General features: G+C 39.1%; 1 protein-coding gene across 21 annotated transcripts in view; it reads right to left on the reverse strand.

The window, feature by feature from the left end:
• CACNB4 (calcium voltage-gated channel auxiliary subunit beta 4) overlaps positions 1–14,202 on the reverse strand; it is a 266,397-nt gene that overhangs the window by 21,190 nt on the left and 231,005 nt on the right. For 11 of the 21 annotated variants that reach the window (NM_001145798.2, NM_000726.5, NM_001005746.4 and 8 more), the window contains 2 exons: positions 6,751–6,860; positions 1,264–1,415 (listed from right to left, as the gene is read on the reverse strand). In NM_001145798.2, the coding sequence (NP_001139270.1) occupies positions 1,264–1,415; positions 6,751–6,860 (262 nt within the window). Of the gene's footprint in view, positions 1–1,263; positions 1,416–6,750; positions 6,861–14,202 lie in introns of those variants that run through there. The other 10 variants (XR_007081584.1, XM_011511797.4, NM_001330113.2 and 7 more) reach the window with 4 other exon arrangements.

Consider the following 14,202-nt stretch of genomic DNA (forward strand, 5'->3'; position numbering starts at 1 on the left):
GATTATTAATGGGACATTTCAGTTTAATTTTAAATTAATCAGACTATTCTGTGATTGGAGACCCAGGCAAAACATTTGTATTAGTATATTGCTACATGTAAACCAGTGATATATCTATGTCTTTTGGCCACTGCTGTAACTGCATTTGGTCATATACTGCCATGTCCCGTGGCCCTTCCCCTGCAAACAATGCTAATCTATGAGCTCTATAATACCCCAGGACATAGGTGTCTGGGAACTCCTGTTCTTGCACTTAAGGACACCACAGTGTCATGGGCAGTGGGAAGGGCTGAACTCTCCTGCACTGCAGTGAAGTGCTTGAACCCCCAGCAGCTCTTTCAATCCATTCTACTGATTCTCAAAAGGCCCTAGTTTGTTCAGGATTCCCAAGTCCACTGCACCAAAGCAGTGTCTGCAGAGATAGATGGAAGGCTAGGATCTCAGAACATCTGGAGGAGAGTACAGCTTCTTTAGACATTCTCCACCCATGAGAGAAGACTGCCATGCTGGTTGGCAGTTGAATTTGTATTTAGGCACCAAAATACACTAGGAGGCACAGAGAAGAAACTGATTATTAAGATAGTACTTCCCAAGGGTAACCATTTCACGTTAACTTTTTAAGAACAACATCCTTTTTTAAAAATGAAAGAACACCCAAATCAAAAGAAACCAATTTGGGGCTATTTCACTTTTATTTTTACCTCCCACAATGGCATAAAGATACAAAGCAAATTTCCCATTGTGCTTATCGTGGAATAACCACATTCTTTCAAGAACTCAACCTAAGCACAAATGTCAGGGTCTATAATGCTTCCATAGGAGATGTTTAAACAGTGATATTCTATTTTATATATGATCAACATAGATGCCTTTTTTGATCAATATAGATGTACTCTCTCAACTAGGTACAGAGTATGGATGACACAGGAATCAACAGGATCCAAGAAATTTACCAATATAGAATTCATAGTCTATGATAAGCCAGAGTCTACTTTTCCACATCTGTCTTAATGTTTTGTTTCTATTATACACTTGCATAACTGTCTTGTTTGGGATCTACAATAGTAGCTTTTAGAAGAAATGAACTATTATATTCTTCACTATCTGAAAATTCATAGAATCTGTACACTGTGGAAAGATTTTAAATGTGCTTATTAATAATCAGCAAGACGTTCTCCTTTGTCCACTAACAAAAAACCACAGAGCAAAACACATTTTTAAAAGATGCACTTCTAAACCTTAAGGCAGAAAGGAGCTAATTACCTTTGGAGATGAGACTTTTACATGAACAATAATTGGTGCTAAGGAAGTCTTTATAAGTTGTGCTGGGTGATTGATGGTGTCTGCATCAAGAACAACCAGTTGCAAAGATCTTGCCAACTCAAAGATTCTTTCAATTTCACTTTGTACTTCCGCTTAAAGGAAAAATAATAAATAGATCCCGGTTATTGTTATGAATTAGTTCTTACATTAGAAAGATATAGTATATTTTCAGATATGTTGGTCTACATTACAAAATAAAACATTTTAAATTTTCATAGTCCTGTCTAATTTAAGACATTTTCTAAATATAGACAGAGATGGGTTGAGTTTTGCATACAACCAGTTGGTAGAAACGTCTGAGATGGCTCTCTTAATTTGCTTCTTCTAGTCAATATAATATTTAGCTGTTTATATAACTACGATGATTATTTTATGTTGTTTTTGATTGTTGTTTTGTTCTAAAGAACTTTAATGTTAGCCATAGAAGCTAAAAGCACATTTAGAAAACAACTGAAATATATGTGCAAAGCAACATCACATGGAAAGCAAATTACACTGAAATATTTCTATCAACGAAGTATAAACTAATACTTTGTGGACATGCTTCTTTTAAAAAAACCCCACAACTCATCTGTTTTGACTGATATGCATATTTTTGTACCACTGGTTAATTGTTCTGAGTCTACCCTTAAAACTAATCATATTACTAAGTCTAGTTAGATTTAAGTACGAAAGCCAATGTACTTGTTCTAAGGCATAATTAGCTTCAGTATTAAAAAAAAAAAAGTAAGGCCAATTATATTAAAACGCTGCAATGCATCTAGATGCAAATCTATCTGGCTGGCTGTAATAGCCAAGTGACCCAAATCTGTGCATGAGTCTAGTCAAATGAAAAATCTACTCTTTTCAAATGTCTGAAGCAATCCAGTTTTTTTTTTTTTTAAGGAAAACAGATAATCAACATAGGACATGGCTTTCTGAAATATAAAAAAGTTTTATATATATATATATTTTATAAATTACCTGACTTATTGGATCATGCCCAAAGTCTGAATTATACTATTTGATTTTCAGAGAAATTGATTTGTTTTCGTTTTTGAGACACAGTTTCACTCTGTTGCCTAGGCTGGAGTGCAGTGGCATGATCTTGGCTCACTGTAACCTCTACCTCCCGGGTTCAAGTGATTCTTGTACCTCAGCCTCCCACATAAATGGGATTATAGGCACACGCCACCATGCCTGGCTAACTTTTGTATTATTAGTAGAAGCGAGATTTAGCCATGTTGGCCAGGCTGGTCTTGAACTCTTGAACTCTTGACCTCAAGTGATGCACCCACCTTGGTCTCCCAAAGTGGTGGGACTACAGGCATGAGCCACTGTGCCCAGCTGATTTTGTTTTTTATTTTTATTTTTTGGCTATAGGTGTGACCAAACAATGCTGTAATCTGGTCCAAAGTACATACAGTACACAAAACTATCTAACTTAAATTATTATTATTAATTTTTAGAGACAGGGTCTCACTCTGTGTCCCATGCTGGAGTGCAGTGGTACAATCACAGCTCACTGCAGCCTCAACCTTCTGGGCTCAAGTGATCCTCCCACCTCAGCTTGCCGAGTAGCTGGGACTACAGGTGCACATCACTGTGCCTGGCTAAATTTTTTATTTTTTGTAGAGACTGGGTCTCACTAAGTTTCCCAGGTTGGTCTTGAACTCCAAAGTCCAAGCAATCCTCCTGCCTTGGCCTCCTGAAGTGTTGGCATCACAGGTGTGAGCCATTGTACCCGGCCTTAAACGACCCTAAAGATGGCCTAGGGAAAAAGGTAATGTTGCTCTAAATATCCTCATTGAAAAGTGTTTGTGATTTGCTTTGCTTATTTAGTATAAATTCAAGTTCACATAGCCCACCAAAAAATTCTCCCTTCCTTAACCAAAAGGATTGACAAGGTGTGCAGGGTCATGAATACTCAAGACTATCATGAAAATCTATTTTCTTATGTTTTGCATGATTGCATAAAATTCTTATTTCCCATAGAATCACTGAAGTTTAAGGCATGATCTGTATTAAAAAGGATTAATTTGAAGAGTCAACATATCACTTTTCATGTTATCCAATACCAATGGCCTGAAAGACTTCACATTGCTTGGAAAGGTGACTAGCTTTCAGAATATTAATGAAAACAAGTGGGCTTATTTGTCAAATTCTTCTGAAATCATATTCTACATTTGTTAGTAATGTAGCATATTTGTCCCCTTTTCTCTCACATGGCAGAAACAGTTTTAAAATAAATTTTCTTCAGAAGGAAGTTTGGAAAATAAAGTCAATTTTTACTGTAGTAAATTTCAGCCTCAGGATGTCAGGGTATGTTTCCCATTTGCTGTTTTCATTAAACTGTCACTGGCTTATGGGAGCTCCTGGCCAGGACTACATGTGAGCAAGCCTATGTTTTCTTAAGCTTCAAATATGAATACAATATTTTCAGAAGCAGCAGAAAGACATTGATGTGAACTGGACTGCCCTGGTACAAATAACCCTCAAGGCACTCTGAGTTTCTGTGTAAATGACTCAGAAATACCTGGGCCTTATTTACTCTGCACCAGCAATGAGGTTAAGTGTGGTTTCTGCCAGGAGCAAGGGCAGCCATACCTACTGCTTAACCAACACAAAACTCTTAGGCAACAGGCACTTGGGCAGAGGAAGAGAGGTGCTTGGGCAGAACAAGCCAGCAGGGATGCTGGAGAAGGCCACATTAAATACTGGGGTGAGCCCAATGTTTGGATAATATGTATACAGAATGTAATAAATATATTTTATCTGTGAGGCATATTTATCTATATAGCTCTTTTTTTGTTTTTTAAAGAAAAAGATCTCAACCAAATCAAAAAATCTTGGCTACCTGGACTGATTCTCAGAGGGGTTCCAAATAAGTTTTCCTCATAATCCTATTCCAGTCAAATGGAGCCCTGGGGAGTCATGGACTATGATGCTGGAGGACCTCGATGAACACTTCTATAAACTGACCATGATGATTTGGGCCCACCTCTCTCCAGGATCCCTGTCACAAATTATATCCCTTATACTCAAACCTGTTCATATTTCTCCCATGCTTAAAACACTTCAATGGCTCCCCAGGGTCCAAAGCAACATTTCCCAAAGTGAGTACTCTGGAACAATAATCTCATAAGATATCCTATGGGAAGAAGGGGGTTTTGTGTAAGGGTTATATTGAATACTATAATAGCTTCTCTTTAGAATTTCAAACATGCATTATCCTTCATATCTTCAAGGCTCTAAGTCTTGCAGAGAAGAAACCTGTCAGTTTAATTCATCATTTCCAAATTTATTTGACAATGGAAAACATTCTGAATGTAACAACTGTTACTATGTTGTAAAATTAACATTGCATGGGATCTATTTTGGAGTTCTCTTTAGCAAGGTGCATTAGAACCCCAACACATTGGCCTCAATCTTTTTCAATCTCTTCTGTTCCTCTCAAATCACACCACCAACTTCCCTGTTCTAAGCATGCTATACACAAATCTACTTGTTTCTCAACAACATATTTTTGTTTACATGTCAATGTCTTTGTACATTCCTGCCTGCCTTGAAGAACCAGCTCAAATATAACTTCTGAGAAGTCTTCTCACACATCTCTTAACCCCTACTCTTCTTTATACCCCTAGTTCCTTGTTCATAATTCCACTGTCACAGGTATTCTAACCATCTGTCTCTTCTGTCTCTTTGCCCATGGGTAAGATACTGTGTGTGGGTTATGTCTTTATTTCCTAAGTCTAGCACAATGCATGGCACATAACAAGTGTTCAATAAACATTTGATGAAGGAATCTACAAATGTGCATTAACAAGCACACAAATGGATCACATTGTGGTTATTATAAAATTAATAGATTGCCATGAAATTAATTCCAATGGTTGTGGGTTTATGACTTTACAGAGTAAAGGTAAAAACCATGAGGTGAGATATACTTTGTTTCTTCTTGTTTACACTAACATGCCCCCCATCCACCCCACTGACTCTGACAGCAGGTGAATGGATTGTAAGGAATGACTTCAGTGAATACACATGAAGCCCTTGGCAGGTGTCAATGGTTAAAGGAGTCAGACAACCTGGCTTAAGCTTTTAATTATCTTTTAGCCTCTCACCATACATTAGAAGGAGTACTTAAAAGCCAAAGACACTATAAGGAGTTACAAAATGGGTAGAAAACAGGAGAGCAGAGAATTGATGTTTGTTTGAGAAACTTCAACCTAACTTAATGTCCCTGTCACCCATGATATTTAACTTTAGTCATTACCTAATAGGATTCACCATCAACACTGCCATTGTACCTCTTCAAGGTCAAAATACTGTGCCTTTGAGCATGTTTCCCTCTGCATGTGGAAGGCTCTAAATACAAGACAAAAGAAGGGACCACTAATCGCTGGGATCTTCCCCTCACAAGCACTGACCACTACTCTATTTGGTATGTTTAGTAATCCTTCACAAAGCAACCATCCCACATTTATTAGCAATTATCACATGCCAATCCCATGTCAGGAACACACAGATAATATTTTGTACCTTCTTTACAAATTGCACGATCTTTGGCTCAAGGTCAGTGGGTTCTTAATGTGATGTTAGGGCATGCACTCTGTCTTGGAAATCTTAATTTTATTTTTCTATTATCTATAGAGCTAATTTCAACAGTTTAAAAAATGTAAGGCATGGAAGAGCCCTATTTATCCTTCCTAGTTAAAACAAGTTGCCCTCAGAATATGAATGTAAAGAGAATCCTAGGAAGTCATGAGTGGACTACACCACCCTTGGCAATCGTGGAGACCATGAACAGGCTTTCCAGATGAACGATGTAATTCACCAGCACTATGGACTCGCTTCTGTGGGTTATGATCCATCCTCCACAGCCCTGCTCACCTATGGCTTGACGGAGCTACTCACTTACAGCCTTTATTCTTCTCCATCATGGGGAATTTTAGGATGCTTTCCAACTGGTACCCCAGGAAAGACATGTTTAAAGTCCCTGCATGTTACTAATGGTCATTGCCATTCACAACACCAAGAACACCGTTATCTAGCTTTTCTTCTAAAGATCTCAGAAGGCTGAACACCTCGTTTCCTTTTATGTCAGCTGTGACTCAGGTATGACAGATATCATTAGCCTTGTTGAGAAGCTGAGCAAAGTGGAGATGACTGGTTTCATGTAGTTAGGCAGGAAAAGACTAGGAGAGCCCATTGAGGATTCTTTCCACCAGACTACTAATTAGCTAATTGACTAAAGCTGAGAGACAGCAAGCTCTCGCTACTGCAAGACTCTGCTGCCTTCTTGTCCATAGCTAGCATTCTTTTTAGGTACTCAGTGCTCCCCCGTTCAGAATGGGGAACAAATTGAAAAAGACATTCACAAATGCACCATGTGTCAGCCCGGTCTGTAAGCACAGCTTGAAGAAGTACCACATTTGAACATCTTACCTAAGCTGGACCGGGTGTTCGAACGTTCAATTATTGCTCTCTTGCTGGGATTATTTAGGACAGACCTCTTAGCAAGAGAAATGTCAGCTGTCACTCTCGTTATTGAAATCCTATGAATAGGAACACAGAACAGAACAAGCCAGTAAAAATGTTATGGGGCTCTCCAAGTGATTTATAACCACAGTACTTAATAACCAATTTACATGCTACAGGGGAACCACAGTATAACAAACATTGGCCACAAGTATTTTAAACAGGCTCTGGCTAGTATCAGAATGCAAGCAGAGCAGAATGGAGGAAGGTTTAAACTGTTTCACACACAAAAAAACCTACTCCAGTAAAAATGTTCTTCCTCCATTATGGCCTGCCTTGCTGAATTCCCTTTATAATATACACCACACCAGGAAGGAATCAAGACATATAAATAAACCATGCTCTTTCTAGGAAGTAGCAATACAATTTGCCACAATTCATAGTTGATTTGCTCTTGAACAAGACCTTCAGGAACTACAAATGCTTTGCTCTGGCATTTAATGATGCCAGTCAAAGCTGGGAAACCCTCTTCATTTTGATTATCAAAGACAATCTACCAGTCTGTGGCTAAGCTGCATTCTTTTGTGATACACACGTGATTCTCCACAGGCCCAAAGGGATACTTCATTTATAAGAATGTGAAAAAATGGTTTTATTTTTTCTGCATGCATAAGATTCTTCAGCATATTTGCATAAGACTTTGAATGCATACGGTGGGCAGTCATAAGGCACTCTAGTTGAAAGTAATGTGAGTATTGTGCCAGGATTTTCTACGTTAGAAAGTATCCTTCGGTCATGCAAGAGAAGAATAAAGCAGGGCCTGGCATGGTGGCTCATGCCTGTAATCCCAGCACTTTGGGAGGCCGACATGGGTGGATCATTTGAGGTCAGGAGTTCAAGACCAGCCTGGCCAACAAGGTGAACCTCCGTCTCTACTAAAATACAAAAACTAGCCAGGCACAGTGGCACATGCCTGTAGTTCCAGCTACTTGGGAGGCTGAGGTGGGGGAGGTCATCTGAGCCCAGGGGGCAGAGGCCGCAGTGAGCCGAGATCACGCCACTGCACTCCAGCCTGGGAGACAGGGTGAGACCCTGTCTCAAAAAAAAAAAAAAAACTGAAGAATAAAGCAAAGACATTGCAAATAAATGCAGAGGGGCATCTATTTGCATATGATTTATCAAATGAGAATATCTGCAACTTAGAATTTAAAGACTATTTTAAACTGAGATTGCTCAACTTCCAATTATCTACCAGTAGAATTCAAAGCTTGCCTCTTTAGGCCAGTTACTGTCACCATGGGCCTTTCTCCATTCTCATCTTCACAGCATGGTTCCCAGAAAGGAGACAAGGAAAGTAGCACCCCTCCCCTTTTATACTCAGTTAGTACACCCATTCTCTTCTGTTTTCAAACTCTTTGGGGATTGAAGCAGGAAGGAGGGTAGAATTATCAATTACTGAAACATATGTCATTTCATACCTGTCTGGGGACAACACTGCCAGCTATGTCAGGAGACTGTACCTGATTTCAGTGACCTAAAGCCTTGGAGAGAATTTAAAATAGTCCTTTCCTCAGATGGTTGGAAATCATTCTTTAAAACAACAGTCTGTGCAAAAGTTCTGGTGCCATTTTAAGCAAAGCACTGCTTGCCTGTGTCATTATGTTTATATGCTGTGGGTTGTCAGGAAGTTTTCAATTCTTAAAATTTTAGAACTGTTAGACCCTTTTCATTATTTGATGCATCTTCAAAATTGTCTCCCGCAGAAACCAAGAGTTTTTGCAGATACACCTCAGGGACTGTTCTGAGGACTAAAGGGAGGTTCAGTGGGCTCCAGCTTCACTATCCTCAGTGCCAGGTAAACATGTCTGCATTTCTGTTTTCTGCATTGGGGCTTTATATATGATTTCACTATAAAAAGCTGTTCAACTGCTAAAAGACACTGGAAAACACTGGTGTAACAACTTTTTCATCTTACCAAGAGGGAAACTGAGACACACACAGAAAGCTGCACATGGTTAGTTACAGCTCAGGTCTAAACTAGCCCCTGGGTATCGGGCCAGTGCCAAGTCACCTGACTCCACCATTCTCTTACAGTTCAGTGTTCTACAAGCCCGAATCTCAAGCTATGAGTCAAGTGGTCAAGCATGGATGCACAGTCAAGTCTTCGCCTTGCTCTGAGATAGTGAGAATTTAAATCAAGTTGAGGTAGAGTAAACCCACACCTGACTTTCTATTACTCCAGTTGGCCACTGCAGCTTTCAGGCATGAAGTCTCATAGGCAGCTCCTTTCCTCTCCAGAATAGGGTTTGTGTGGTTTTTTTTTTTTAATTTAATTTTTTTGAGTCGGAGTCTCGCTCTGTCACCCAGGCTGGAGTGCAGTGGTGCAATCTTAACTCACTGCAACCTCCACCTCCCAGTTTCAAGCGATCCTCCCACCTCAGCCTCCCAAGTAGCTGGGATTGCAAGCATGTGCCACCACACATGGCTAATTTTTGTATTTTTACTACAGATGAGGTTTCACCACATTGGCCAGGCTGGTCTCAAACTCCTGACCTCAGGTGATCTACCCACCTCAGCCTTCCAAAGCACTGGGATTACAGGTGTGAGCCACCATGCTCAGCGATGTGTGTTTATTTTTGTGTTTTTGGGTTTCTGGTTTATTTAAGAATGGAGCTGCTGGATAGAAACATACAGGCATGTTTCAGAGCAATCCAAATATATGACGAGAGACAAGTCGGTGGGTTTAGGGACAGAATTCAACTTTCTAGACCAATGATTTTTGGACTAATGATGTTTGGAGGGCCCAACAACCCAGAAAGTTGAATTCCAGTCTCCTTTAGTGAAAATAAAATTTTCTAGTTCTATACAAACAAGAGACTCTTGGTTCTTCAAATCTGAAGGGATTATCATCAGATTCACACTTTTTTTTTCTGAGTTATAAAAGTACTTTTACAAAGCTATTTTCAAACACGACCAAAGTTTGAAAAAATTCAGAAAAAAACCTTTTCATGTGTTCCAATACAGGGAAAGATGCAGACAATAAAGGGCACGTTTTCTCATTTTATTTGCTAATACAAGTTAGTTTGCTAATACAAGTTATTGATTAATAAAAATACACATGCATAAAACAGAGCTCAGAAGAAGACATGCACAGCCCTAGAAAACCTTCAGTAAGACAAAATAGGAGTTTCCCTTTTCTGTGCATAGATGCTTATTATTATCAAAACCAGACACCAAACCCAAAATTCTTTTTTATAAAAGGCTCTCCAGAAAAGCAATCACATTCACAACTGAATACTATCTAGCTTATATACTTTTTTTAACTTAAAGTGGTATCCTTTCTACTTCTTTTCTTGCTATGCTGAGACCCCCTAGTCTCAGCTAGTCCCCCTAGTTTCAGCATTCCCATGTACCTTGTTTGGTATACATCTCTAAAAAGTTCCCTTGGAAAACTTTCTGTGACTTGCTGGCCAGTAGGTAAAAGACTAATAGGAGTTTAGTTCCCCAGCAGACTGGATGTAGCAGCGAATGTTCCTGAAAACTAGCAAACATCATTCCCTAAATATAGTAAATCTGAACCCCAATTGTTGCTTATTTCCACTTTAGAATTCATCCTAACTGCTGCAATCCATCGTGAGTTGTATTAGTTTTCTGTGATTTTCTGTGGAAAGATATTACTTTCAGTTATGACAGATTCATCAAAAAATAATTTGTATTTCCACGCTGGTAACGTAACAGCTGTAAGATCTGTCTATATTCTATCCTTGCTACATCCAATATGCAGCCCAGACAGTATAATAATTTTTGAAAACTTCTGGTATTAGTAGGGAAGAGTGTTCCGAAGAATGCAACAGTGCACTTTCAGGAGAATGGAAAGGCACAGGAGACCCGAGTATCTTCCTGGATCTTTGTCTTGGTAGTTGCATGAGTCATTCCATCTTTTGACCTCAGTATCCTAATCAATAAAATGGCAATAGTAGCTTTGCCATAACTATCTCATGGGGTTGCCATTAAGAGCAAATAAGGTTATATATAAAAGCGCATTCTTAAATAATTATTCATAGTGTCCTCTGTTAATAAACACATATATAATGTACACAAGGCAAACAATTATTGGAGATTTAAAGACTCGAAGGAGATAGTTTCCTTATGTCCTACTCTCAAAAGTGGGCAGTCTACCATGACCCCTCTCATTCCCAGAGTCCGTGAAATGTGGGTGAGAGAATCAGGTCAGATACACTGTACTCAAAACCTACTAATTTAAATATTCAAGTTTGACACTCAAGTGTTCAATTAATTATTACTGGTGTTTGAGTGGCTGTTTATGAGTCTGCATTTGAATAGAAAACAGTAGGAAGAATGCATAGGAGAATGAAATTGATTACGAAACGGAAGTTGCTGCTGTTCTTTTTCCATTTGTTGACTGCAATTAGAAATTATCTTCATTCTTATATGGCTTGGTTGCCTTGTGACAGCACCAATTGTTCCCATTTCTTTTTATTAATAAATACTATCGCTTTGAGTCTCCCTAAGTTGTATGTTTAGCTTCTTTTCTTTCAAATTCTTTCTCAAGCCCTTTTTTTCCCTTTATGTGTTCTTAGGCTAAAAGCATCCTTTAGCTTGAGATCCTATCTGTGTAGGTTACACGATGTTCATCTAAGATTTTTGGCCATGATCATTATCAGTTACAAATTGTCCAATAAATGTCACAGAGTTGATCTGATCCAGTTGTCAAAAGCCTAAAGTAACAACTTTTTGGGGGATTTGAAATGATTGGCATAGGTCAACAAACTGCAACTGGTTTGACTGCTGGCTGTTCAGCCTGTGAATGGTAGATTCAGCCAGCTGAACAAACCTCATCCAAATGGGTAATCCCCAATTAATATTTGTGGTGTGAAATGAAGAGAGAAGCTCCATGCCCATTGTGTATCCACTGTGTCGTCGTCAGCACAGGAATCATTGCTTCATGTAGATATTCAAAAATACAGAGGGCGCTCAGGAACTGTTTAGTATTGTGTTTTTCTTTTTCTTTCTTTCTTTCTTTTTTTTTTTTTTTATTGAGACAGAGTTTTGCTCCTATTGCCCAGGCTGGAGTGCAATGGCATGATCTTGGCTCACCGCAACCTCTGCCTCCCAGGTTCAAGTGATTTTCCTGCCTCAGCCTCCCGAGTGGCTGGAATTACAGGCACGCGCCACCACGCCTGGCTAATTTTGTATTTTTATTAGAGATGAGGTTTCTCCATGTTGGTCAGGCTGGTCTCGAACTCCCGACCTCAGGTGATCTGCCCACCTGGGCCTCCCAAAGTGCTGGGATTATAGGCATGAGCCACTGCGCCCAGCCTAGTATTCTGTTTTTCTTACATGTATTACAGTTAGGCCCCACAATAGCAGCTACAGCAATAAAATTGTATAATAAGTAGCTCTAAACTGACTCAAATAATTTCTAAGGTATCAAAAAAATCCCAAGTTTATGATTCTGCAATAGTCAAACTGTTGGACTTTCATCCAATTTGTTGAATTATTTTCTACTAAGATCTGAAAAGCAGATTAAAGAAGAAAGCCTCGTAGCCAACAGATCCCTTCTTTGTACTTTCTGAAAAATAATAGGACTTTCTCCTATTTTGTCTAACGTACTGCATTCATAGCCCATGAAACACAGAGTAGGTTTCCATTAGAACATATTGTTTATGCCGTGTCACTGTGCTAAAGCCTTCCTTGTCATTGTTCTCTTGGCTGGTTTCAATTAAAGACTATTTGTTTTTTTCTCTCCTTGTATCAATTGGTAAAACATAATGCAGCATGATGTTATAGCTCAAAACCTAACGATATTCCCCACGAAGAAGACATGTCAGAGTCAGTGTGACGCTACCAGCGAATTTCTTTCTTATCAAAGTCTCCACATACACTCAACCAAGGAACTCCTTATTGTTCATTCTGCTGCCTGGCCTCTTAATATTTGAAATCAAGTCCATTCTCTCACCCCTCACCCCTTTAATATCTACCTATCTTTCTCCTGCTGGAGAAATATATCAGATTTCTCCAGGGCTAAGTCTCTCTCTTCAGCTATTACTTTTGCTACTGCTGGGCTCTTCCTCCAGACCCTCTGCCATGTCATCAGACCCCATGAATACTTGAGATTGAAATTTGCATTCAATTTCTATTAAAACCAACTTCAGTAGTATGTGTACAGTAATGGATGCGACAATTCTACTTGATTCGAGACAAATCTCTGCTGTTACAATTAAATAAATTCCCTTTTTCTGGGCCTCAGGATTGAGGAAGAACATCAGATTCTTCATTCTTGAGGGCAAACCTTTAACAGCACTGTTGCGTATAAGTATGTTATAGACCAAAATAATCTAACACTGTCTTATGGGATGGGATTTGTTCAGATAGGGCTGTTATGGGGCCAGTGGATTCGGCACTGCTCAGAACTGCCTTAGGTAACAGCTCCACAGGTTGAAACCATGTGACTCCATACATATCTGAAGGAACTATGCACGTGCGACCAAGGCATGCTGGCTGCCTTCAATCCACAGGGACCTGCATGAGGGTTAGGGTTAAGGCCAGAGCATCAGACAGCAAGACCAAGACCAGCCCTATTAAGTTACAAAGTCAGAGTTCAGCTATTTTTTTGCAATGCTTTTTTAGAAAGTGTAATCCCAATAACCAAAAGTTTCAAACAGAAGCAGGTTGTCTATCTGATTGTGGTTATTGGAGAAATGATGAGTCTAAAAGACATTTTATGTATCCTTCCAACTCCAATGCTCTAGGATTCAGGGCTTTTAACTTATTTTCTTTGAAGCTACTTCATTATCTGCCTATTTCTTTTTTAAAGAGAGTGAAATGGAACAAATACATCTTTCTTATTAAGCCTTTGTCCAGTAGATGAATGTGACGAAGGCTATTATTGATTCAACAAATTCTATCTCCTCTTCCTCCTGGACTGCAAGAGTGCCTCCGCTGCAATTAAGTATGACCACATAACCAAGTTCTAACCAGTGAAATGTCAGTTGCGCTACCTCCAGGCCGGGCAAGCTGACTAGAGACATCGTACCTGGGCTAAGGGCCCCAAATGACAGAGGGAACAAACTTTCTGCCCAATTCTCCCCTCCCCCAACTCTATCCTCCCTCCCAGCCAAGGAACACCTGCTTCAGACTGTTAAGTGAGCAATAATAAGCTTCCATTGTGTTTGAATCACTACACATTTTGGGGTCTATTTATTAAGGCAGCCTGACCTATATACTAATGTACCTAGAAGCATTCTTATTTCTTAAACTAAAATCTGTTTACTAACTTTCTATATTGTTCCAGAAACTAATGAATATTTTACCCAATTATCCAGAAAGCTTTTATTTTAACAAATGCATACAATTTATATTTAAAGCAATACCATGCTTGTTTTTATTCTTAATATA

This window comes from Homo sapiens, chromosome 2, assembly GCF_000001405.40.
Source record: "Homo sapiens chromosome 2, GRCh38.p14 Primary Assembly".
Lineage (NCBI taxonomy): Eukaryota > Metazoa > Chordata > Mammalia > Primates > Hominidae > Homo > Homo sapiens.